The following is a 26,804-nucleotide window of genomic DNA, read 5'->3' as shown; positions in this document are numbered from 1 at the left end:
AAGTGCTGGGATTACAGGCATGAGCCACCACGCCTGGCCCTGTGTTTCCTTTTGGATAAAACTACTGGCAAAATAAAAATTAAATCAGAATAAAGATCCCAAGCTAAAGGAAACAAACAGTGGTGGGCAGGAAATCTACGGAAATCTACTAAAACTTATCACTGAGGCCAGGAGCGATGGCTCACAGCTATAATCCCTGCACTTTGGGAGGCCAAGGCGGGTGGATCACTTGAGGTCAGAAGTTCAAGACCAGCCTGGCCAACATGGTGAAACCCCATCTCTACTAAAAATACAAAAATTAGGAGTTTGAGACCAGCCTGCCCAACATGGTGAAACCCCGTCTCTACTAAAAATACAAAAATTAGCCGGATGCCTGACTTGAGGTCAGGAGTTTGAGACCAGCCTGCCCAACATGGTGAAACCCCGTCTCTACTAAAAATACAAAAATTAGCCGGGCGTGTTGGCACGCACCTGTAATCCCAGCTACTCGAGAGGCTGAGGCAGGAAAATTGCTTGAACCCAGGAGGTGGAGGTTGCAGTGAGCCAAGATCGCACCACTGCACTCCAGCCTGGGCAACACAGCAAGACTCTTGTCTCAAAAAAAAAAAAAAATTAGCCAGGTGTGATGGCACATGTTTGTTGTCCCAGCTACTCAGGAGGCTGAGGCAGGAAGATCACTTGAGCCCAGGAGGCGGAGGTTGTGGTGAGCCATGATCACACCTGCACTCTAGCCTGGCCGACAGAGTGAGACCCTGTCTCAAAAAAACAACAAAAAAAGGATTCTTAAAATCGAAGAAGCATATCATAAGGAAATAGCTCAGAACTGAAATACCAAATTATTTCAATAAAATCCAGGAATCAAGTAATGGGGGTTGGAAAAGCAAAAGCATGAAAGCATGCTAAAGGTTTCATTTTGAAAGGGTAGGTTACAAAATAGTCATTATTTAACTTTGGTAAAGTGATAAATACAGAATTAATTATGTTTGATATAAATATGAATACAATTACCAACATAACTTAATTACCGATGGAGGATTGTTTAAAAACTTCATCAAGTTAGCAAAACATAAATAAGGGAATAAGAGGAAACAAAATAAATAATAAATATAAAATAAGATGGTAGAGAGCCGTGCACGGTGGCTCACACCTGTAATCCCAGCACTTTGGGAGGCTGAGGTGGGCGGATCACTAGGTCAGGAGTTCGAGACCAGCCTGGCCAACATGGTGAAACCCTGTCTCCACTAAAAATACAAAAATTAGCTGGGCATGGTGGCAGGCACCTGTAATCCCAACTACTCGGGAGGCTGAGGCAAGAGAATCGCTTGAACCCAGGAGGCGGAGGTTGCAGTGAGCTGAGATCGCGCCATTGCACTCCAGCCCGGGTGACAGGGCGAGACTGCATCTCAAAAAATAAATAAATAAAAAATAAGACGGTAGAAATCTGACCAGACATAAACGTCTCATAACAAATGTGAATGGGTCGAATTTAAATAAACACAGTTTAAATAAACACGAAACAGACCACCAGTCTCCTTTCTTCTAAAGTACTCATGTTGCAACAACAACAACAAAAAAAATGTGAGGTTTGGAATGAACCAGGTCTGGACATTTCACTCAACAATTTCCATCTGCCTAACTTCCCTGGAAACTGAGTGCCTGCAATGGATACAAGCACACAGTGAAAGAAAACACATCACTTGGAGAGAAAAAGAATGTGCTTCAGAGGGGAGAAGAGAAGGGGGGAGGGAAAAAGGAGAAGGGGGTGCAGTCAGTCATCCCTCCCAGCACTCAGGAGCCTCTGCTCATAGGTTTTTCAACAACTCCAGAGAGAAAACAGCTACCATTTTATAACCAGCAGACATTCTTACTCTGGCTCAACAACTACCTAGCTATATGACCTTGAAGAATTTTTTAAAACCTCTCTGAGCCTCAATGCATCCACCAATATCATCTAGGCCTAAAATCACCAATTCATCAGTACTCAAAAGCAGATCTCTGTATTCGCTAATCCCTCATCTCCCATACTGTCACCCACAGATGTCCCTGTACACCCACTGACTTCATTCCCCTCATCCTTCCTCTGCCGTAGCATCAAATTTCCCACAACATTCTCTGAAACTCCCACCTGGGTGATCAGCACTCCCCTAACAACCTCTCCCTGGGATCAATTGTCCAAGCTCCTGCCTTGATACTTGGCTCTCCCAAGGACAATGCTTCACTTGCAGGCCTCTCAAAAGGTGGTTGTTGTTTTCACTGCCACACGTTTATCCGGGGGTCAGTAGGTAGAGAACGTAGCCCTCCAGACTCACCAGTGCCAAGCTGAGACTATTTTTCCCTCTTGTTAAAAAGAAAAAAAAAAAAAACCAGGTGTGGTAGCTCACGCCTGTAATCCCAGCACTTTGGGAAGCCAAGATGGGAGGATTGTTTGAGCTCAGCAGTTCAAGCCCAGCCTGGACAACATAGAAAGACCCTCATCTCTATTGAAAAAAAAAATTAGTGGGGCATAGTGGCAAATGCCTGCTTTCAGTTAGCAAATCTGAAGATCTTTCCATCTAATAGTCTTTCCACACAATACAGTTTTTCCATATAATCTTTCTATATGATACTACTTTATCTTTTAAACAGCCAGAATTCTTAAGTATGCATATATCCTACTTTATTTAACGAGGTAATTTTTGTCTTTTCCATCACTATCAATATTTCTATCATCTAGTATTAGATGTTCCTAAATAAAGTATAATTACCACCTTTCTTGTGTTACTTATAAATATGATTATTTGGTCGGGCATGGTGGTTCACGCCTGCAATTCCAGCACTTTGGGAGGCCAAGGCAGGCGGATCACTTGAGGTCAGGAGTTCAAGACCAGACTGGCCAACATGGCAAAACCCCGTCTCTACTGGTAACAAAGCAAGAGTCCATCTCAAAAAAACATAAAAAATAAAATAAAAGTATGATTATTTGCTTTTGGTATTAACAGTATGATTCTTGATGACATTTTTATGATTATATAAAAAATGTATTTTTTTCCCACCAAGCTGTCCACTGGCAGGGCCAGCATTCACACAGAAAACAGAGCACAATCCTCATCCAGCCTGCCCAGTGCCAGTGTGCTATCCAAATGTTATCATTTTCTTTTCTTTTTTTGTTTTGTTTTATTCCTTTTTTTTTTTTTTGAGACAGCGTCTCACTCTGTCGCCCAGACTGGAGTGCAGTGGCATGATCTTGGCTCACCACAACCTCTGCTTCCCAGGCTCAAGCGATTCTCCTGCCTCAGCCTCCCAAGCAGCTGGCATTACAGGCACGCTCTTAATCACTAGTACAACTTATGGTACCAACTGATAGAGAAAAATGTTAGGACATGTCGGGGTTACAGGCAGTGTGATATGTTTTTATCGCAATTCACCTCAGATCAAGTCACTTAACCTTGCTAAGCTTCAGTTTCCTCATCTGTAAATTGAGAATGGGGCATAATGGAAACATTCTCTTACAAGGAAGTCAGGAGGACAGCAATGATACCATATGAAAAAGATCCAGACTGAGTGATGTGAAACATATTCAACAGTTTTTAAAAGTTGCTGTGAAGGCTGGGCGCAGTGGCTCATGCCTGTAATCCCAGCACTTTGGGAGGCCGACGTAGGCAGATGACTTGCGGTCAGGAGTTCGAGACCAGCCTGGCCAACATGGTGAAACTCCGTCTCTACTAAAAATACAAAAAGTAGCCTGGCATGGTGGCACACACCTATAATCCCAGCTACTCGGTAGGCTGAGGCAGGAAATGCTTGAAACCGGGAGGCGGAGGTTGCAGTGAACTGAGATTGCACCACTGCACTCCAGCCTAGGTGACAGAGCGAGACTCCATCTCAAAACAAAAACCAAAAAAACAAAAAGTTGCTGTGAAATTCTATGAATATTCATTAAAAGCACAGGATTGGGAGGGGTGGTAAAGGAAACTCACTGTGTCTAAGTTTCATCATGATGACCAGCTTGAAAGCAGATAGGTTCAAATCTGCTTGCTCTCTTCCTGTCAGAATGGGAGAAGAAGCAATTTGAAGACAGCTGGGAATCACAATGCCACAAGCCCCCTCCTAAGTCCCCTAAAGGTAAAATGTTAAAGAACATTATGAGGAAGGCGTAATAATTAGGAAAACTGGGAGAAGCTGGAGCTAAAGCCTCATATGGCTGAGTCCACACAGAGAAGGCAGTGTCATACTACCCAAAGGGAGGAATAGGTCTCAACCTCATCCGGGGTGGAGTCAGTGGCTCAAAGCCACTGGGCTTTGAGCCCAGTGGGGTCAAATGGGGTCAGATGGGGTCTTTGGTCCTTATTCCTCCACACTGTAGTGTTATATTCTAGGTAGGGGACTAGTGCTCAACACCTCCACACTGAGGGGAAAGGGACATGCAAGGATGGTCTATTTCTATATGGGGTGATAATAGTGCCTCTTTTCCCAAGTAGGGGATTCTATATCTCATCTACCCTGGGAGAGGTGGTGGGGAAGGGCGTAAATAGATCTCAGGAGTCTACCCTGGGGAAAAGGGGCCTGAGAACAGGGATTCTTACCTGAGTGTCTATATGGATTGAGATAAGTACAAAATCTTGGAGGAGGGGGTAAAAATCTGTGCCTGCATATGCCTGGGGTCTATACCTTGGTGATTTGGGTTGGGGGGATTGCCATCTGTCCCTCTACTCTGGGGTGCAGAGAAACTGGGGAAACCCACAAAGTGGCTGTGTGCATCTCTGCTGCATGGGGAAAGAATCACAGATCTGTTTATCTCTAGATTGTGGGGATGGGTCCTGCGTCTCTTCACCCTGGAGAGGGCTGTGGTACAGGATCGATATGCCTGATTCCACAACTATGCAGCTTTGAATAAGCGGGTCTGCACCTTACCTGCAGTGAGCTATTCTGGACCCTTCTATGGAAGGTGGACTGTGACAACTTTCATCTTTTATGCTGGTTGAAGTCAGCGGCACACTAACACTGAAAGAAATAGGGGCTCTGGTTCTCTGCATGGGTGGTGTGTGGAGGGGGCTGGCAATGCAGCTATAAATTAATAGATCAGCCCTAATACTTGGGGGTGGGGGCGTCTGTGATTCTACCCTGGGTGGAGAGAAACAGATCTGAGCTCCACTACCTTGGGTAAAGGGGAGAGACCATACGCACTGAACTGCCAGGTAATCAGCGATGTCACTCCCTCTCAACATTACAGGGAGGGAGACCTGCATATCTGCTCCTGTGGGGTATCTCCCTTGCTACATTTAGTGATTCTAAATCTTTGGGGGAGGTAGGGGGAGGTAGGGGGATGATCTGTGTCTACCTCAAAGGGAGAGGAACACATCTGAGCCCCTCTACCCCCACGGCCCCTCAAGGGGCAGACCTGACTGTCTCTTCATGGATTAAGGTCTGTTCCTGTTTGCTTCGAAGCATGTTGGGTGCTTCGAAAAATTACACATTCGGTAAAACGGGGGCTACGGAAGTAGGGATCAGGTCTGATTCTCCACAATGGGGACTCACTCTAACCTAAGAGGAGGGGGCAATTGGCTTAGTTGTCCATAAGCTGAGGCCTGTAACTGCAACCACTTTGGGGACGGGTGAGTTGGGGAGCGATACTGAGGGCTCTGAGTCTACGCGTATGGGGAGGAGGTGCCCTCCCTCTGTATATTAAATGTTTCTAAGCTCCTCTATGCTGGTATGGGGGCAGATACATCAAAGCCTCTGTCTGTCCTGAGGAGGTGCCTCGAGACGGCTGTCTAGAGCCAAGCCAAGGAAGTGCCTTAAGTCGGGAGAAGTCTGCGCTGCTCAGCTGGGTGGAGGGAGATGTCTCTACACGGTTGGGGTGGATGTCCCCCATGCCTTTGGTGGGTCGACTCCTGTCTATACAAGGTGAATGCAGAATGAAGCCTCACTATCTTGAGGACGATCAACGCTTCACCACACAAGTGAAGTTTGTGCCTCTCTACACAGTGTGTCCCGGGTCTACACCTTTCTAGGTGGGATGGGGCAATGCCCCTCTCCCGGCAAACTCCACTCCGCGAAAAGGCAATTCGGCGCGTCTCCACGTGTGCCGCGATCCCTGCCCCTCTTCCGGTCCCTTCTACCCTGGAAGGGATCCTGCTGTTTACCTCTCTATTCCAGGTTGGCGGGCATCTCTGGTTTCACATCCAATAGACGATCCTAACTGCCCGGCCGTCTAGGTGAGCGCACATTGTGAGAAAAGAGGAGAGAAGTTTCTTACTTACACTTCCGGCGGGGATCTGAGAAGCGAGGGCAACACGACAACTCGGTTGAGCGAGCAGAAACTCTCGCGCAGCTAGGCTCCGACTTCCGGATCCCAGGCCGGCGGCGCCCGACTCCGCCCACCGTGCGGTCTCCGCGGGGGGGGGGGGGGGGGGGCGGAGCTTCTGACTGACAGCTCACGCCCGCCCGTCCCTTCTTCGCGACCACGCTGGCCCCGCCTCCTGCCTGCCCCGTAGTTAAGGAAATAGCGGAGGAGGGAGAAGGAGGACGGGGAAATGACCGGGAAGAAGCGGCGGGTCGACTGGTGCGGCCATATACCTTACTTGCAAGCCAAAATTTTGTCTGCGGGCATCTGTCTGGGGTTAAATATGCGTGCTCCCAAATCTCAATAACCAGGCAGTCACCACGCCCGAATCAGACAAGGGTGGGGGATGGTGTCTTTGTCTGCCTGGAAGATGGCGACAGCAGGGTGTGAGAAAATGGCCGCCTGGGTCACGTGTCTGGCCGAGTATTTCCCCACCTGAAGTGAATTGGTTAGCTATTCCCAACCACCTTCCCGGGTCCTTGAGCCCCAGACCATCCCTGAGCACTCCTAGCTTTTTCTGCATACGTTCAGATCTATGGCCATACCCAACCCGAGCTGGAGCAGGAGCCAGAACGACTAGAAGCCTCTCCCACACTAGAAGCCTCTCCCACCCTTTTGCCTTCTTCCCCTCCTACTCCATCCTTCCCTCAATCCCGGAGCAGCGTCTGCAGAAGGGAATGAATTTATATCTCTGGAGTGGGGCAAGTAGGGGTTTCTGAAGCCATCTCAAGGAGCTGGCTGGGAAGTGAGGTCTCCCCCACAAAATAGTAAATATTAGTCTGCAAATGTTTTCTTCTTGATGGTTTAATTCCAGCCCCTCCTCTTCCTCAAGCCTAAACCCTGGGGTGGGGCACAGAGTAGGTGGAACTCTGTGCCTCCGAGGGTGGGTTTGTTTCTCCACTTCAAGCACAGACGGGCTGAAAATGACTCCATCTGTCCCTTTATCCCTTACATAAACAGGACTCACTACCTCTCTACATCGTTGGAGGGCTTCTAACCTCTCATCCTAGAGACACATGAAATTCCTCTGGACCTGAAACCAGCCCTGACCACTTTCACCTTTCCCCCTGCATTTGCAATTTTGCTCTGTTTCTCTAAGACCTAACTCTTGTCACTTCGATGAAACCTTCTCTGACTTTCGCAGATGAGTTAGAAACCCAGAGCACCTTACCTATACAGCTAAGCTAGCACTTATCACAATACTGTAGTTGTTTATGTGACTGTGTCTCCACAGGAGGGTGAACTCCCTGAGAGCAGGGGCCATGTATCTTCAAGCTTTCAACAACACCCAGCACAAGACTGGTATGAGGCAGGCTTCAACAACTGTTTGTTAAATGGGTGAGTTTACAGGCCTGCACCACAAAAAATGGGAAATGGGCTGTTTAGTAGATGGCATTGGGAAATTTGGCTCTCCATGAAAAGAAATATAAAACTGGATCTCTATTTATTCCACCTAAGAGGGTAGACTGTGAATGTGAAAGGTAAAACTATGAAGTTAATATATGCAGGAGAATATCTTTGTGACTTGTGACTGGGGAAGGACTTTTTAAACAAAATCCCAAATGCACAAGATATAAGGGAAAAAATACAATGAAATCTTGTGGAAACTAGTTATTACGACTTTGGAAAACAATTAGGAAGTATCCAGAATAGCTGAAGATGACCCTGGGACCCAGCAGTTCTAGTATTGGAGATGATTGATTAATAGGTAGATAGATAGATAGAGATCACCTCTAAACTTTAACTCCTAGAGAAATTCTTATACACTTGCTCAATGAGCATGTGGAAGAATGTTCATTGCAGAACTGTTTGTAATAGAGAAAAAAATGTGAACAGCCCAAAATTCCACCAACAGGAGAATGAATAAGTAAATTATGGTATAGCCATATGACAGAATACTATGCAGAATACTATAATGAAAAAGAATGAATCATGTTGCATGCATTGACCCAGCTAAATTTCAAAAACACAATACTGAGATAAAATACAAATTGCAGAGGACACATAAAGTATGAAACCATTTATATAAAGTTTTAAAATCTAGAAAACAGCAAACAATGTTGCTTATAGATTATATAGATATATAAACAATAATTTTTTTTTCAGACAAGATGTTGCTCTGTCGTCCAGGCTGCAGTGCAGTGGCTTGATTTCCTCTCCCTGCAGCCTCCACCTCCCTGACTCAAGCCATCCTCCCACCTCAGCCTCCCAAGTACCTGGACTACAGGCATGTACCACCACACCTGGCTAATTTTTGTATTTTTTGTAGAGACAGGGTTTCACCATGTTGCCCAGGCTAATCTTGAGTTCCTGAGCTCAAGTGATCCAACCACATCTTGGCCTCCCAAGGTGCTGGGATTCCAGGTGTGAGCCACCGCCCCCAGCCAACAATAATTTTTAAGGAGAAATACCAAATCCAGAATACTGATTACCTCTGGGGAAGAAAACAAAAGAACAGAATGAGAGAGAGATACACAGGGAACTTCAACTGTTTGTCTAATATTTTACTTTCTAAGCTAGGTGGTAGGTACGTGGGTTTTTGTTATCTTCTCTATACTTATTTGTATGTCCGAAATATTTCATATTTTTTAAAAGACTACAAGGATCTGAAACAAAATGTTAATAATAGTTAAATCTAGATTAGTGGTTCTCTAACTTTCCCCAGCATCAGAATCACTGGGAGGGCTTGTTAGAACACCAATTACTGGGCCTCATGCCCAGAGTTTTGATTCAGTAAGTCTGGTTTAGGGCCCAGGATTTGCATTTCTAACAAATCAAAGTGACATTATCAGTGAATTTAATTTTCTTCCTTGTACTTTTCTGTGTTTTCCATGTATTTGATGAATATTTATTACTTTAGTGAGAGATTGTGTTATTTTTTAAAATCTCTTTCATCTCTACTTCCCACTTTCATTTCCCTCCTATAGGCAGCCATTCAAAGGTGTTTTATGCATATTTTTGCATATATGCATTCTTGGAAAATACGTATTATTGCTTTATGTGTATTTCCTCCTTTTTTTTTTTTTTTTTTTTTGAGCCAGGGTCTTGCTCTATCGCCCAGACTGGAGTGCAGTGGCATGACCTCCACTCACTGCAACCTCCACCTCCTGGGCTCAAGGGATCCTCCCACCTCACCCTCCCGAGTAGCTGGGGAACTACAGGCGCACATCACCATGCCCAGCTAATTTTTAAAGATGTTTTTACTGGTCTCGGCTGGGCACTGTGGCTCACACCTGTAATCCCAGCACTTTGGGAGGCCAAGGCAGGCGGATCACCTGAGGTCAGGAGTTCGAGACCAGCCTGGCCAACATGGTGAAACCCTGTCTCTACCAAAAAGAAAAATACAAAAAATTAGCTGGGTGTGGTGGCAGGCGCCTTAATCCCAGCTACTTGGGAGGCAGAGGCAGGAGAATCGTTTGAACCCGGGAGGCGGAGGTTGCAGTGAGCCAAGATCAAGCCATTGCACTCAAACCTGGGGGACAAGCACGAGACTTCTCTCAAAAAAAAAAAAAAAAGATTTTTTTACTGGTCTCAAACTCGGGGCTCCAGCAATCTGCTTGCCTCGGCCTCCTAAAGTGATGGGATTGTGGGTGACTGCACCCGGCCAAATTTTTATTTTATATTGTTTCCAAATTCAGAACAGTCGAAAGAATGGTATAATGAAAGCCCATATACCCTTATACTTCACCAAATATCATCCTACATAACCACAATACCATTATCAAACCTAAGAAGATTTAACTATAATTCAATAATGCCATCACGTATAGCCCATATTCACATTTCCGCCCAATTATCCCCAAAAATGCAGCTTTCGTTTTTTGATCCCAGGATCTAATCAAGGTTTATGTACTACGTTTCTTTTTTTTTTTTTTTTTTTTTTTTTTTTTGAGACGAAGTCTTGCTCTGTTGCCCAGGCTCGAGTGCAGTGGCGCAATCTTGGCTCACTGCAACCTCTACCTCCTGGGTTCAAGTAATTCTCCTGCCTCCACCTCCCAAGTAGCTGGGACTACAGGCGCCCGCCACCATGCCTGTCTAATTTTTGTATTTTAAGTAGAGACAGCGTTTCTGCACATTGGAGTGATCCATCCACCTTGGCCTCCCAAAGTGCAGGGATTACAGTCATGAGCCACCACACCTGACGTTTGTGTATTACATTTGGTTGTTATATCCCTTTAACCTCTTTTAATCTAGAATAATACCCCTATATTTTTTGTTTCAAATGACATTTATGTTTTTGAAGAGTCCAGGCCAATTGTCTTGTAATATGTCCCATATTCTGGATTCATTTGTTCTTTTCACATGAATAGATTCAGAATAAATATTTTTAGCAAGAACAGTACATAGGGGATATCCTTTATTTTGTATTGTGTCACCTCAAGAGGCACATGATATCAGATTGTCTCACTATTGAGCATACTTTGTACTTGTTTTTCTTTTACATAAATATCTCATTCTGGCCAGGTGCGGTGGCTCATGCCTGTAATCCCAGCACTTTGGGAGGCCGAAGCAGGCGGATTGCTTGAGGCCAGGAGTTCAAGACCAGCCTGGCCAACATGGCGAAACCCTGTCTCTACTAAAAATGCAAAAATTAGCCAGGTGTGGTGGCGCACACCTCTAATCCCAGCTACTGGGGAGGCTGAGGCACGAGAATCGCTTGAACCTGGGAGGCAGAGGTTGCAGTGAGCTGAGATCACACCACTGCACTCCAGCCTGGGTGATGGAGTAAGACTCTGTCTTAAAAAAAAAAAAAAAAAAAAGTCATTCTGTTTTCCATTCAGCCTAGTGTTTTTAAGGTCTATCCATATTGCTGTGTGTACATCTAATCTATTGCTTCTTTTTTTTTTTTTTTTTTTTTTTTTGAGATGGTGTCTCACTCTGTTGCCCAGGCTGGAGTGCAGTAGCGCTATCTGGGCTTACTGCAAACTCTGCCCCCTGGGTTCCTGCCTCAGCCTCCCGAGTAGCTGGAATTACAGGCGCCCACCACCATGCCCGTGTATTTTTAGTAGAGACGGGGTTTTGCCATATTGGCCAGGCTGGTCTCGAATTCCTGGCCTCAGGTGATCCACCCACCTTGGCATCCCAAAGTGCTGGGATTACAGGCGTGAGCCACTGCGCCCAACCTGACCTCATCCATTGCTTCTATCTGCTCATGGTAACCATACTGTGCCTTCACTGCATAGATTGCCTCCAGCTCTCCAATAATACTTCAGTGAACATCCTTGTACATATTCCCTTATTGACCTGTGTGAGGATTTCTTTTGGAACATACACTCAAGAGCCACATGATTACATTCTAAAGTATGCATATACTTAGTTTGACTTAAAAACACCAATACTTCTAGATGGTTCTCTGGGATGGCAGTACCAGTTCACACTTTCACCATGTGTGAGGATTTCTGTATCCCCACATCTTCACTAACACTTGACATTCTCTAGCTTGCTATTTTTTGTTTTTAAGACAGAGTCTCTGTTGTGCTCTCCTCGGCAGCACATATATTAAGACAGAGTCTTAATGCAGTAGTGCGATCTTGGCTCACTGCTACTTCCACCTCCCGGGTTCAAGCAATTCTGCTGCCTCAGCCTCCCTAGTAGCTGGGATTACAGGCGCCCGCCACCATGCCCTGCTAATTTTTGTATTTTATTAGAGATGGGGTTTCACCTGACCTCAAGCAATCCACCCACCTCAGACTCCCAAAGTGCTGGGATTACTGGCGTGAGTCAGCACGCCCGACCAAGATGGCTAATTTTTGCCAGTCTAATAGGTGGAATAGGTTTCAATCCATCTAGATTCCACCCTCATATGTGGTAATACGTGGGAATGTAGCTTTATTATTCTCCACATGGTAAGCCAGGTTTCCCACCATCAAATACTGAACAATTCCTCCTTTTCCCATTGATTTGCCATGCCACCATTATCATATGTTATTAGGCATACACACATAAACACACATACATCTTTTTCTGTCCTTGGGCTAATACCACCTTGGTTTTAGTATTTTGTAATGTGTCTAAATATCACATGGAGCATTTCCTCCTCTTTAGTGTTCTTTTTAGGTGTCTTAGATCTATTGCCACATAAATTTTAAAATGAGTCTATCAAGGTCTTCAAAAATCCAACTGGGATTTTGATTGGGATCACACTAAATTTATAGATTAATTTGGAGGAACTGCCATCATTGTAATAATTACTCATTCCATCCAACAACGTGGAATATACCCTCATTTCTTCAGTTCATCTTCTTCTGTGTTCTTTATTAAAGTTTTCTCTTAAGAATTGTGTATTTTAAAAAATAAAAATGAGGTCAGGCACAGTGGCTCACACCTGTAATCCCAGGATTTTGGGAGGCCGAGGTGGGCAGATCACGAGGTCAGAAGTTCAAGACCAGCCTGGCCAACATAGTGAAACCCCGTCTCTACTAAAATACAAAAATTAGCTGGGCATGGTGGTGGGCGCCTGTAGTCCCAGCTACTTGGGAGACTGAGGCAGGAGAATCGCTTGAACCCGGGATGCAGCAGTTGCAGTGAGCCGATTGCGCCACTGCACTCTAGCCTGGGTGACAGTGAGACTCTGTCTCAAAAAAAAATAAAAATAAAAATAAAAATGAATTGGTTACCTTGGATGTTGCTAAGGCATCAGCTCATTCTGCTGATAATTAATCAACAAATGGAAAAAATCTGGCATTATTCCTGCCTTCCCACATGAATCATATTGCAGGTTAATCAAATAGATAATTAAGGAAAGAGCTTCTTTATGGAAGACTCAACTTATAAATGCAAGAGAAATGGCAGTGTTACAATTCAATCCCTAATGAGATAATGGATTTAAGAAAAAATATGGCTGCTAAAACCATAGGTGAAAAACATTTGGGGAATTATAACAGAGGAATTAGGCTGATACCATCTGACCCTACTCATCAAACTTATCATCAAAGACAGAAAACAAGATATATGTGCCTTCTTATGTTGTACAATAAGAAGTATACAGCACTATTCATGAAGTATACTTTTAAACAAGAAGGAAAAAAGAAACAATTTAATCGAGCATCTCTATTTAACTTCATTTACAAAAAATTCAGGTAATATAGGAAGAGAAACATGTTAAATGGTACCGGGAGAAACAATACACCAAAGCAAGAACTTGGGAAATTTTACAGGACAAAAGAGCCAGTATATTCAACAAATAAATGGAAGGAAGAAAAGAGAGGGAAAATTACAGATTAAAAAGAAAATAAGGCTGGGCATGGTGGCTCATGCCTGTAATCCCTGCACTTCGGGAGGCCGAGGCGGGTGGATCACTTAAGGTCAGGAGTTCAAGACCAGGCTGGCCAACATGGTGAAACCCCATCTCTACTAAAAACACAAAAATTAGCCGGGCATCATGGCACATGCCTGTAATCCCAGCTACTGGGGAGGCTGAGGCAGGAGAATCACTGGAACCCGGAAGGCAGAGTTTGCAGTGAGCCGAGATCGCACCACTGCACTCCAGCCTGAGGGACAGAACGAGACCTCGTCTCAAAAAAAAAAAAAAAAAAAAAAGATTAAAAAGAAATAAAAAGGAAAGGAAATTTCAGAGATAAAGCAAACAAATGCAATGTGTGGGTCTTGTTAACAACCAGATTCCAATGAAGTATAAAAAGATTTTTTTTTTCGAGATGGGGTCTTGTTCTGTCACCCAGGCTGGGGTGCAGTGGCAAGATCTCGGCTCACTGCAGCCTCCGCCTCCCAGGCTCAAGCGATTCTCCCATCTCAGCCTTCCGAGTAGCTGGGATTATAGGGGCGCACCACCATGCCCAGCTAATTTTTGCATTTTTAGTAGAGACAGGGTTTCACCATGTTGGCCAGGCTAAAAAAGGTATTTTTGAGATAATGAAGGACAGTAGAACATGGACTGGGTGTTAGATGATATTCAGGAATAAATGTTAAATATGTTGGGTATGTTAGACCGGGCACAGTGGCTCACGCCTGTAATCCCAGCACTTTGGGATGCTGAGGCGGGTGGATCACCTGAGGTCAGGAGTTCGAAACCAGCCTGGCCAACATGGTGAAACCCCATCTCTACTAAAAATACAAAAATTAGGCCGGGCACGGTGGCTCACGCCTGTAATCCCAGCCCTTCAGGAGGCCAAAGCGGGTGGATCACGAGGTCAGGAGATTGAGACCATCCTGGTTAACACGGTGAAACCCTGTCTCTACTAAAAATACAAAAAAATTAGCCAGGCATGGTGGCAGGCACCTGTAGTCCCAGCTACTTGGGAGGGTGAGGCAGGAGAATGGCGTGAATCTGGGGGGTCGGAGCTTGCAGTGAGCCAAGATCGTGCCACTGCACTCCAGCCTGGGCCACACAGTGAGACTCCATCTCAAAAAAAAAAAATACAAAAATTAGCCAAGCGTGGTGGTGCACACCTGTAATCCCAACTACTCCTGAGGGTTTGGCAGGAGAGTTGCTTGAACCCGGGAGGCGGAGGTTGCAGTGTGCCCAGATCGTATCACTGCACTCAAGCCTGGGTGACAGAGCTAGACAATGTCTCACACACACACAAAAAATGCTGGGTATGTCAGCATTATTGTAATTATGCTTTTTTTTAAAAAAAAAAAGTGTGTTAGAGAAACATGGTTTTTATGTGTGAGATTACCTCAGGTCTGGAATTTGCGATAAAATACTCCAGGACTGGGCATGGTGGCTCATGCCTGTAATCCCAGCACTTTGGAAGGCAGAGGCAGGGGCATCATCTGATGTCAGGAGTTCAAGACCAGCCTGACCAACATGGTGAAACCCTATCTCTACTAAAAATACAAAAATTACCTGGGCGTGGTGGCAGGCACCTGTAATCCCAGCTGCTCAGGAGGCTGAGGCAGGAGAATCACTTGAACCCAGGAGGCAGAGGTTGCAGTGAGCCTAGATGGCGTCATTGTACTTCAGCCTGCGCAACAGAGCAAGACTTCGTCTCAAAACAACACACAAAAAAAACCTCCAGATGTATTCAGGCATTACTTATGCATTAAAATACATTAACAAGTAAGTTTTAAAAAAGAATTGTATATTTATTAAATTTCTAATTGCCTTCGAGTTTTGTTACTTTGTGAACTTTTTTTTTTTTTTTTTTTGAGATCAGGTCTCGCTCTGTCACACAGGCTGGAGTGCAGTGTTGTGATGTTGGCTCACTGCAGCCTCTGCCTCCTGGGGTGAAGTGATCCTCCTGCCTCAGCCTCCTGAGTAGCTGGGATTACAGCTGTGTGCTACCACGCACGGCTGATTTTTGTATTTTTAGTAGAGATGGGTTTCACCATGTTGGCCAGTCTGGTCTTGAACTCCAGGCCTCAAGTGATCCACCCTCCTCAGCCTCCAAAAGTGCTGGGGTTACAGGCATGAGCCACCACGCCCAGCCTGAATATGTCATTTGTAATAGATAAAATACACATTTTGAATATTGAAACTATTTAAAAATTATACTTTGAGATTTCTTATCCCCATCTAGTCCACCCAGTTCCCCTGCACCCCCACAGGTATCAGTTTTGTTAGTTTATTTTGTCTTCTTCTAGTGTTTCTTTATACAGATGCAAACAAATATAAATGTATAGCGTATTCCACCTTCCGCCTTACACAGAAGGTGCCGTACTATGTATATTGTTATACATATTGCTTTTTTCACTTAATAATACATCTTGGAGGCCAGGTGCAGTGGCTGACGCCTGTAATTTCAGCACTTTGGGAGACCAAAGTGGGCGGATCACCTGAGGTCAAGAGTTCAAAACCAGCCTGGCCAACATGGCAAAACCCAGACTCCACTAAAAATACAAAAATTAGCCAGGCATAGTGGCACACGCCTGTAATCCCAGCTACTCAGGAGGCTGAGGCAGGAGAATCGCTTTAACGCAGTAGACAGAGGTTGTAGTGAGCCGAGTTTGCGCCACTGCACTCCAGCCTGGGTGACAGAGCTAGAATCCATCTCAAAATAAATAGATTAATTAATTAATTAATTAATTAATACATCCTGGAGGTCTTTCCCTATCAGAGCACTAGAGAGTTTCTGGTAAGTAGAAAGCATGAAAGTAGAAAGCTTTCTGTATGAAAGCACATAGGACTACTACCTCAAAGTATTAGGTAATGTGAATGTATGTTATGTGCACATTTATTTAATGACTGTGCCACAAAGGATAGATAGTTCATACAGATGCAAATATTTCTGTAGGATACATTCCAAGAATTACATTTGTAACTTTGGGAGATACTGCCAAAATTGCCTCCACAGGTGTTGTATCATTTTGCATTTCTACCAGCCAAATGTGATTATATCTGTTTCACCACAGCCTCACAAGCAACGGAGTGTATTGTGAGACTTTTGGATTTTTGACAATGATAGGATAGAAATGGTATCTCAGGCCAGGCACGGTGGCTCACGCCTGGAATTCCTGCACTTTGGGAGGCCGAGGCAGGCAGATCACCTGAGGTCAGGAGTTCAAGACCAGCCTGGCCAACATGGCAAAACCCCATCTCTACTAAAAATACAAAATTAGCTGGGCGTGGTGGCGAATGCCTGTAATCCCAGCTACTTGGGAGGCTGAGGCAGGAGAATTGCTTGAACCAGGAGGCAGAGGTTGCAGTGAGCCGAGATAGAGCCACTACACTCCAGCCTGGGAAACGAGTAAAACCATCTCAAAAAAAAAAAAAAGGAAAAAAAGAAAAAAAATGGTATCTCAGTGTAGTTTTGATTTTCATTTATTATGAGTGATGATAATTTTTTCATGTGTTTAAGGGACTTTTTATGTGTTTTTGTATTAATTATCTATTTATATCCTCTGTCCCTTTTTCTGTTTGGTCTCTGGCCTTTCATTCATTTCAGAACTTTGTTATATAATTAGAGAGATCATAAACTCTACTCCTTTAAATACAAGTTTTAAAAATTAAATAAATAGGCCGGGCGCAATGGCTCACGCCTGTAATCCCAGCACTTTGGGAGGCCCAGGTGGGCGGATCACAAGGTCAGGAGATCGAGACCATCCTGGCTAACACAGTGAAACCCCGTCTCTACTAAAAATACAAAAAATTAGCCGGGCGTGGTGGCGGGCGCCATAGTCCCAGCTACTCGGGAGGCTGAGGCAGGAGAATAGTGTGAACCTGGGGGGTCGGAGCTTGCAGTGAGCCGAGATCGCGCCACTGCACTCCAGCCTCGGTGACAGAGCGAGACTCTGTCAAAAAAAAAATTAAATAAACAGAGATAGACCTTTGTCAATGATCTCAGCTGTCAATTTTTTCCCCAGTTCATCATTCTTCAGACTTTGTTAGCGGACTTTTTTCCAAAGCAAATTTTATTTTATTTATTTATTTATTATTATTTTTTGAGATGGAGTCTCGCTCTGTTGCCCAGGCTGGAGTGCAGTGATGCAATCTCAGGTCACTGCAACCTCTGCCTCTTGGGTTCTAATGATTATCCTGCCTCAGCCTCCCAAGTAGCTGGGATTACAGGCGCCTGCCACCACGCCCAGCTAATTTCTGTTTTTGTTTTTTAGGTTTTTTGTTTGTTTGTTTGTTTTTGAGACGGAGTCTCGCTGTCTTGCCCAGGCTGGAGTGCAGTGGCATGGTCTCGGCTCACTGCAACCTCTGCCTCCCGGGTTCAAGCGATTCTCCTGCCTCAGCCTCCCGAGTAGCTGGGATTACAGATGCCTGCCACCATGCCTGGCTAATTTTTTGTGTTTTTAGTAGAGAGGGAGCTTCACTATATTGGCCAGGCTGGTCTGGAACTCCTGACCTCAGGCAATCCACCCGCCTCTGCCTCCCAAAGTGCAGGGATTACAGGCGTGAGCCACCGTGTCCGGCCTCTGTATTTTTAGTAGAGATGGGGTTTTGTCATGTTGGTCAGGCTGGTCTCGAACTCCTGACCTCAGGTGATCTGCCCACCTCAGCCTCCCAAAGTACTGGAACTTACAGGCGTTAGCCACTGCACCCAGCTGCAAATTTTATATTTATATAAATAAATTTATGTTTTCTTTCATGGATTCTAGATACTGAGTCATAGTTTTGTGATAGATTGCATTAATGACCCCAATTTTTCATGTGTCTCTTTATCTAACTTTGGTAAAGGTAGTACCTTCCCACACTGACTCTTGAGTTTGGCCATACAACTTGCTTTAATCAATGGGATAGTAGCAAACTTGGTATAAGCAGAGACTTGAAAAAGCTCTTGCATATTCTACTTCCTCTCTTGGACCCCTGCCGCAGCTGTGAGAACATATTCAGACTAGCCTCCTGGAGAGATGTGAGAGACAAGTAGAAATGAGCTTGGTCATCCCAGACAGTGTGTCCTATAGCAGCCAACCAACCTCCAGCCAAGCCACCAACTGGGTGCAGACACATAAGCTAGCCCAGTTGAGATTAACACAGCCTAGTCCAGATCATAGAACCTCCCAGCTGACCCATAGACTCTGTCTGAGTTTTGGTACATAATTATTCACTTTGGTTTACAACACAGCATTATTGTGGCAGTAGTCCCCCATCATCGTTCTTTCTTTTCAGAGATATGCTGGCTATGCTTGCTTGTTATTTTTCCATATGAACTTAGAATCAGCTTGTCTAGTTTCAGAAAAAAAAAAAATGATATGCTTTTTTTTGAAACAGAGTCTCGCTCTGTCGCCCAGGCTGGAGTGCAGTGGTGCGATCTCGGCTCTCTGCAACCTCTGCCTGCTGGCTTCAAGCGATTCTTCTTCCTCAGCCTCCCAAGTAGCTGGAATTACAGGCGCCCACCACCACACCCAGCTAATTTTTGTATTTTTAGTACACACAGGGTTTCGCCATATTGGCCAGGCTGGTCTCGAACTCCTGACCTCGTGATCTGCCCACCTCGGCCTCCCAAAGTGCTGGAATTACAGGCGTGAGCCACCGTGCGCAGCCAAAAAATGATAATGGGCTTATACTAAATTTATAAATTAATTTGACATCTTTATGATTTTAAGTCTTCCCATCTGAGAACGTGGCATGCCTTTCCATTAGTTCCTTCAGAGTGTTATGAATGTTTCTCATTAAGGTTTTAGACATTTCTTGTTAAGGTTGTTTATAGGTATTTTATCTTTTTTGTTGCTCTAATAAATGGAGCCTTCTCTTCCATATATCTTCTAACTGAATGATTTCTATATATTAATTTTATATCCTGCTACCTTACAGAATTCTCTTGTTTGTAGTAGTTTCTCTATTGGTTTGTTTGGGTTTTGTGGCTGTACAATCTGATCATCTATAAATGGTGATAGCTTTACTTCTTCCATTTCAATTGTATATTTAATTTATTTCTCTTTTCTAATTGTAATGATTACTACCTCCAATGCAATTTTTTTTTGTTTTTTTGTTTTTAAGACAGAGTCTCTCTCTCTCACCCAGGCCACAGGGCAGTAGCACGATCTTGGCTCACTGCAACCTCCACTTCCCAGGCTCAAGTGATTCTCATGCCCCAGCCTCCTGAGTAGCTGGGATTACAGGTGTGCACTACCACACCCAGCTAATTTTTGTAACTTTAGTAGAGATGGGGTTTTACCATGTTGGCCAGGCTGGTCTCAAACTCCTGGCCTCAAGCAATCCACCTGCCCTGGCCTGCCAAAGTGCTAGGACTACAGGCGTGAGCCACAGTGCCCAGACAACCTCCAATAAAATGCTAAATTGTAGTGGAGAGAGTAGGTACCCTTAGTTGGTTTCTGATTTTAGCATATAAATACTGGTGGTATTTCCTGGTTAAGTGAAATGCTGGATTTGGGGGATCTATCTATCTATAGAGAATGAGATAAAATATATATCAGGGAAGAAACCACATATTCCTCTTTTATTGAATGTTTTTATAAAGAATGGGTATTGATACCAAAGTTACTGAAGGAGAAGAAAAATAAAAGAATGGGTGTTGAGTTTTGACAAACAACTCTTTGGTATCTCTGAATAAAATGATAGGATTTTTTTACTTAGATCTAATAATAGGTTAGATTATATTAATGGATTTCCTAATATTGAACAATTCTTGCATTCCTGCAATTAAAACCCACACAGTCATGGATTCTATTTGTTAATATTTAGGATATTGTGCCGATATTCCTAAGTGAGAATTAGTCTATATGGTTTTCTTTTTCTTGTGGAATCTTTGTCAGATCTTGGTATCAGTGTTATTATTCACTTGATAAAAACATTTCTAAAGTGTTCCTTCCTTAGGCTCAGGAAAATAAGAATAGTATTTGAATTATCTGCTTTTTAGTGTGAAAAGACTTCCCCTTGTGAAAGGATCTTGCTCTATCTGGTGCTTTGAGGAATTGGGGAGCTCTTTATAACTTTGTCTATTTCCATGAAAATTGAGCTACAAGGCCAGGCGCGGTGGCTCACGCCTGTAATCCCAAAACTTTGGGAGGCTGAGGCGGGTGGATCACATGAGGTTGGGAGCTCAAGACCAGCCTGACCAACACGGAGAAACCCTGTCTCTATTAAAAATACAAAATTATCCAGGCTTGGTGGTGCATGCCTATAATCCCAGCTACTCGGGAAGCTGAGGCAGGAGAATCGCTTGAATCCGGGAGGCAGGGGTTGCGGTGAGCCGAGATCGTGCCATTGCACTCCAGCCTGGGCAACAAGAGCGAAATGCCATCTCAAAAAAAAAAAAGAAAGAAAGAAAAGAAAATTGATCTACATGGACTTGTCTTTTAGGGTCAGTTTGTAAATTATATTTTCCTAGGACATTATCCATTTCTTCAGTTCTTTGAACAATTTCTATAGAGTTGTGTTTTGTGATATTTAAAATGTCTTCTTACTATAGTTATGTGCAACTTTTCATTTATTTTGTATATTTGTGCTTTCTCCTTTTCCTGATTATGTTATCTAATAGCTTATATAATTCTTTTTTACAGAATCAACCCACTCATTTATTAGTCCTACTGTTATCTATTTTCTAACTCCTTTATTTTAACTTTTATTTTTGTTAATTCATTCCTTCTGCTTCCCTGTATTTGTTTTGTCTTTCTCTAACTTTTTCAATCTGATGCTTATTCATTTAGTTTTTTTGTTTGTAATGTAAGTATTTTAAGGCTATGAACTTTCCGCTGACCACTGCTTTAGCTGTATCCATGGATTCTGATACGGAATGTTTTTATTGCCATTATTGTCTAGAAATTCAGCAATTTTGGTTTGTTTTTTGTTTGTTCATTTGTTTGTTTTGAGACAGGGTCTTGTTCTATTGCCCTAGCTAGAGTGCAGTAGTGCAATCGTAGCTCATTGCAGCCTCAAACTCCTGGGTTCAAGGGATCCTCCTACCTCAACCTCCCAAGTAGCTGGGACTACAGACATGCATCATGACACCCAGCTACTTTTTTATTTTTTGTAGAGACAGGGATCTCACTGTGTTGCCCAGGCTGGTCTCAAACTCCTGGCCTCAAGTGATCCCCCCGTCTCAGCCTCCCAAAGTGCTGGGACTACAGGCATGAGCCACTGAAACCAGCTCGAGTTTCCCCTTGACCCAAGAGTTGTTTGAGTTTTCACATGTTCAGATCCATTTTACACTGATCTCTAGTTTTATCCAGTTGTGATCAGAGAACATTGTCTACATTGGTTTTACTTTTTGGAATTTATTGAGATTTTCTTCTTGTCCTAATATTGAGTTTGCTGTTTAGGTTTTCTGGTTCTTACTAGGTTTTTTGATCCTTTACTCTGTTCTGGAATGAGAAAGGTAAGTTTAATTTCTCCTGTTCTTAGTGTGTTTCAATTTATAATCTATTTCTCCTTGTATCTCATTATTTCAGCTTTGTGAAAATTGCTATTTCATGTGGTACAAAAATATTAGTAACTTTATATCTTCATTGTGAATTGTGGCTATATTAGTCCATTTTCACGCTACTGATAAAGACATACCTGAAACTGGGAAGAAAAAGAGGTTTAATTGGACTTACAGTTGCACATGGCTGGTGAGGCGTCAGAATCATGGCAGGAGGCAAAAGGCACTTCTTACATGGTGGCGGCAAGAGAAAATGAGGAAGAAGCAAAAGTGGAAACCCCTGATAAACCCATCAGATCTCGTGAGACTTATTCACTGTCACGAGAATAGCACTGGAACTACCTGCCCCCTTGATTCAATTACCTCCCCCTGGGTCCCAGCCACAACACATGGGAATTCTGGGAGATACATATTCAAGTTGAGATTTGGGTGGGGACACAGCCAAACCATATCAGTGGCCTTTTTTGTCTCAATTAATGCTTCTTTGTAATAAACTTTTTATTTTTGATTAATTTTGGATTTACAGAAAGGTTGCAAAGATAGTACAGGGTTTCCATACACCCTTTACCTAGTTGCCCCTCATGTTAACATCTTGTATGACTACCTTCGTCTGAGCTGAGAGATTAACATTGGTATGTTATTATTAACTAAAATCCAAACTTTATTCAGATTTCACCAGTTTTCCACTAGATATCCTTTGTCTATCCTAGGCTTCAATTCAGATGTGACATTGCATTTAGTCACCATATCTCCTCCAATCTGTGACAGTTTCCCAGTCTTCCCTTGTTTCTGATGACCTTGTCAATGCTTTTTATGAGTTCCTAACTTATCGGAAATTAAGATGCAACATTTTTGCTTTTTTTGTTTGCCTTTTATTAGCATGCCTTTGCCCTTTCTTGTATTTTTAGCCTTTCTGAGTCAGTTTGTTTTAGTTGACACTCTTGAATATAGCATTGAGTTTTGCTCAGTGATCCAATAGAAAAATATTTTTCCTTAAACACTTGAGCTAAGACAGTTTGTATTTATATATATGAAAGATGTTTAGTGTTAGTATTGCCATATTATTTTATTTTATTTTATTTTTTTCGAGACAGAGTCTTGCTCTTTCACCCAGGCTGGAGTGCAGTGGCATGATCTTGGCTCACCTCAACCTCCGCCTCCCTGATTCAAGCAATTCTGCCTCAGCCTCTCAAGTAACTGGGATTACAGGTGCGTGCCACCGCAGCTGGCTAATTTCTGTATTTTTAATAGAGATGGGGTTGCACCATGTTGGCCAGGCTGGTCTCAAACTCCTGACCTCGTGATCTGCCCGCCTCGGCCTCCCAAAGTGCTGGGATTACAGGCATGAGCCACCGCACCCGGCCTGTCATATTATTTTAATGTTTTTCTATATGTTTATATATTAAAAGCATTTCACTATATAGTCTGTTTTGTTTGCTTGTTTTTGTAATTATCCTGACATTTAGAAAAGCTTATATTTTGGTCTGCTGATTAATTTTAAGTATCTTTTTTTTATTACCTTTTTCTTTTTTATTTTTTTGAGACAAGGTTTCCACTCTGTCATCCAGGCTAGAGTGCAGTGGCATGATCACAACTCACTGCAACCTTGACCTCCTGGACTCAAGGAATCTTCCCACTTCAGCCTCTGGAGTAGCCGGGACTACAGGGGCATGCCACCACGCCCAGCTAATTTTTTGTTTTTTTTTTTATAGAGACAGAGTCTCGCTTTGTTGCCCAGGCTGCTCTTGAACTCATGGGCTCAAGTGATCCTCCCACTTCAGCCTCCCAAAGTGCTGGGGTTACAGGTGTTAGCCACTGTTCCTGGCCTGTATTTTCTTTTTTTGTTTGTTTTTGTTTTTGTTTTTGTTTTGTTTTGTTTTGTTTTTTGAGACACGGTCTCACTCTGTCTCCCAGGTCAGAGTACAGTGGCATCACCTTGGCTCACTGCAGCCTTGACCTCCTGGGCTCAAATGATCCTCCCACCTCAGCCTCCTAAGTAGCTGGGACTGTAGACACACACAACCATGCCTGGCTAATTTTTTTTTATTATTATTTTAAGACAGAGTCTTGCTCCGTTGCCCAGGCTGGAGTGCAGTGGCGCAGTCTCAGCTCACTGCAACCTTTGCTTCCCAGGTTCAAGCGATTATCATGCCTCAGCCTCCCGAGTAGCTGGGATTACAAGTGCCCACTACCACACCTGGCTAATTTTTTGGTTTTTTTGGGTTTTTTTGAGATGGAGTCTCGCTGTGTCACCCAGGCTGGAGTACAGTGGTGTGATCTCGGCTCACTGCAAGCTCTGACTCCCAGGTTCACGCCATTCTCCTGCCTCAGCCTCCCGAGTAACTGGGACTACAGGTGCCCACCCCCACACCCGGCTAATTTTTTGTATTTTTAGTAGATACGGGGTTTCACCATGGTCTCAATCTCCTGACCTCATCATCCGCCTGCCTCGGCCTCCCAAAGTGCTGGGATTACAGGCGTGAGCCACCACGCCTGGCCAGATTTTTGTATTTTCAGTAGGGATGGGGTTTCACCATGTTGTCCAGACTGGTCTCAAACTCCTGACCTCAAGTGAGCTACCCGCCTCAGCCTCCCAAAGTGCTGGGAATGAGCCACTGTGCCCGGCCTTATTATTATTTTTTGTAGAGGTGGGGTTTCACCATGTTGCCCAGGCAGTTAAGAGTTGTGCATCTGGCCCGGCACGGTGGCTCACGCCTGTTATCCCAGCACTTTGGGAGGCCAAGGCAGGCGGATCACCAGGTCAGGAGATCGAGACCATCCTGGCTAACACGGTGAAGCCCCGTCTCTACTAAAAATACGAAAATTGGCCAGGCGTGGTGGCGGGTGCCTGTAGTTCCAGCTACTCGGGAGGCTGAGGCAGGAGAATGGTGTGAACCCGGGAGCCGGAGCTTGCAGTGAGCCGAGATCGCGCCACTGCACTCCAGCCTGGGCGACAGAGCGAGACTCTGTCTCAAAAAAAAAAAAAAGTTGTGCGTCTATATTTATAAGTGAAATGAGCCTAAAATTTTCTTTTCTTCTGTTGTCCTTATCGGGTTTTAGAATCAAGATTTCAAGATTGTACTAGACTGATAAAGTGAGCCAGGAAGCTTTCTCTCCTTTTCTATTTTCTGGAATAATTTCTGCAAGAAGAGAATTAATGGTTCTCTTGAGAATCTGGCACAATACACCCGTAAACCATCTGGGCCTGAATTTGGGGGGACATCCTTGACTACCATTTTAATTTATTTTCTTTCTTTCTTTTTTCTTTTTTTTTAAACTGAGTCTCGCTCTGTCACAGAGGCTGGAGTGCAATGGTGCAATCTCGGCTCACTGCAACCTCTGCCTCCTGGGTTCAAGCAATTCTCCTGCCTCAGCCTCTCAAGTGTCTTGGACTACAGGCAAGCACCACCACGCCCAGCTAATTTTCTGTAATTTTAGTAGAGATGGGGTTTCGCCATATTGGCCAGGCTGATCTCAAACTCCTGACCTCAGGTGATCCACCTGCCTCAGCCTCCCAAAATGCTGGGATTACAGGCGTGAGCCACCATGCCCAGCCGATTTTAATTTCATTAATACTTAGTGGTCTATTCAAATTCTCTATTTCTTCAGATACCATTTTTCTTATTTTATATTTCTCTCTTTTTTTTTTTTTTTTTCTCAGACGTACTCTCACTCTGTCACCCAGGCTGGAGTGCAGTGGTGCAATCTTGGCTCACTGCAACCTCCTCCTCCCAGGTTCAAGCGATTCTCCTGCCTCAGCCTCCCAAGTAGCTGGGACTACAGCACCACCACACCCAGCTAATTTTTGTATTTTTAGTAGAGACAGGGTTTTACCATGTTGGCCAGGCTGGTCTTGAACTCCTGACCTTAAGTGATCCCCCATCTCCTTGGCCTCCCAAAGTGCTAGGATTACAGGCATGAGCCACCACACCCAGCCCATCTAGTTCCTAATGGTCAGGTTTCTGACTTGAGTGCCTGATGGTGGCTTCACAGAGGGGAGGGCAGCAGAGGAGCAGCATGCCTGTCATTTGGGGAACAGAGGGAGTTTGCCTACCTTTGTACTTCCAGCAAAGGAATGGGATTCTCTGTGACTTTGGATATTTGTGACTGTATGTGATTGTGCATACTTCTAGGAATGTGTATGTTTATACATGATGCTCTACTGTGCTTCTGTTTATATGAAAATATAAGACTGAAAGAGAACAATTTTTTTTTCAGACGGAGTTTTGCTCTTATTGCCCAGGCTGGAGTGCAATGGCGCGATCTTGGCTCACTGCAACCTCCGCCTCCCGGGTTCAAGCGATTCTCCTGCCTCAGCCTCCCTAGTAGCTGGGATTACAGGCATGCGCCACCACGCCCGGCTAATTTTGTATTTTTAGTAGAGACAGGGTTTCACCATGTTGGTCAGGCTGGTCTCAAACTCCTGACTTTGGGTGATCCACCCACCTCTGCCTCTCAAAGTGCTGGGATTACAGGCGTGAGCCATCACGCCCAGCAAGAACAATTTTTCAAAAGGGAATTGGTTAAATTATCCTCTGTGTAGCTATTCTTCTGTATCTGTTCACACAGGTCCCTGAGCTGAGAGGGGGTAATTCCGTGGGTCTCTCAATGTCCCTATGCATGTCTCCATCTCTGCCAGCGGGTGATTCATTCTGTGTGCTTTTCCATGTCTCTGAGTATCTGCATCTGTGAGAGTCTGATTCTATGTGTGTCTCTATGTGTCTGCACACATCTGGGTCTCTAAGGGTAGAGGA

General features: G+C 44.1%; 1 protein-coding gene across 6 annotated transcripts in view, besides 4 other annotated features; it reads right to left on the bottom strand.

The window, feature by feature from the left end:
* The window catches only part of GNL3L (G protein nucleolar 3 like), a 115,636-nt gene extending 109,313 nt beyond the window's left edge, over window positions 1-6,323 (bottom strand). For 3 of the 6 annotated variants that reach the window (XR_007068190.1, XM_047442190.1, NM_001184819.2), the window contains exons 1-2: window positions 6,123-6,323; window positions 3,957-4,022 (exon numbers count right to left, since the gene is read on the bottom strand). Coding sequence is in view for 4 of the 6 variants with exons in the window: in XM_047442190.1 (XP_047298146.1) it covers window positions 3,957-3,975 (19 nt within the window). In the remaining 2 variants the exon portion in view is untranslated. The remainder of the gene's footprint in view (window positions 1-3,956; window positions 4,023-6,122) is intronic. The other 3 variants (XR_007068191.1, XM_047442189.1, NM_019067.6) reach the window with 1 other exon arrangement.
* Window positions 5,918-6,177: an enhancer, noted in NCBI's record as "active region_29673". NCBI's record gives its function as "activates an Ori minimal core promoter by ATAC-STARR-seq in GM12878 lymphoblastoid cells {active_cell/tissue: GM12878}" and the evidence as "EXISTENCE:reporter gene assay evidence [ECO:0000049][PMID:35858748]".
* Window positions 6,188-6,247: an enhancer, noted in NCBI's record as "active region_29672". NCBI's record gives its function as "activates an Ori minimal core promoter by ATAC-STARR-seq in GM12878 lymphoblastoid cells {active_cell/tissue: GM12878}" and the evidence as "EXISTENCE:reporter gene assay evidence [ECO:0000049][PMID:35858748]".
* Window positions 6,402-6,922: an enhancer, noted in NCBI's record as "H3K27ac hESC enhancer chrX:54556053-54556573 (GRCh37/hg19 assembly coordinates)". NCBI's record gives its function as "activates a minimal SCP1, AML or CMV promoter by ChIP-STARR-seq in naive and primed H9 embryonic stem cells {active_cell/tissue: H9 hESC(naive and primed)}" and the evidence as "EXISTENCE:reporter gene assay evidence [ECO:0000049][PMID:30033119]".
* Window positions 6,698-6,747: an enhancer, noted in NCBI's record as "active region_29671". NCBI's record gives its function as "activates an Ori minimal core promoter by ATAC-STARR-seq in GM12878 lymphoblastoid cells {active_cell/tissue: GM12878}" and the evidence as "EXISTENCE:reporter gene assay evidence [ECO:0000049][PMID:35858748]".

The sequence above is a fragment of the Homo sapiens genome, chromosome X (genome assembly GCF_000001405.40).
Source record: "Homo sapiens chromosome X, GRCh38.p14 Primary Assembly".
Lineage (NCBI taxonomy): Eukaryota > Metazoa > Chordata > Mammalia > Primates > Hominidae > Homo > Homo sapiens.
This window is presented reverse-complemented; position numbering and strand designations above follow the sequence as displayed.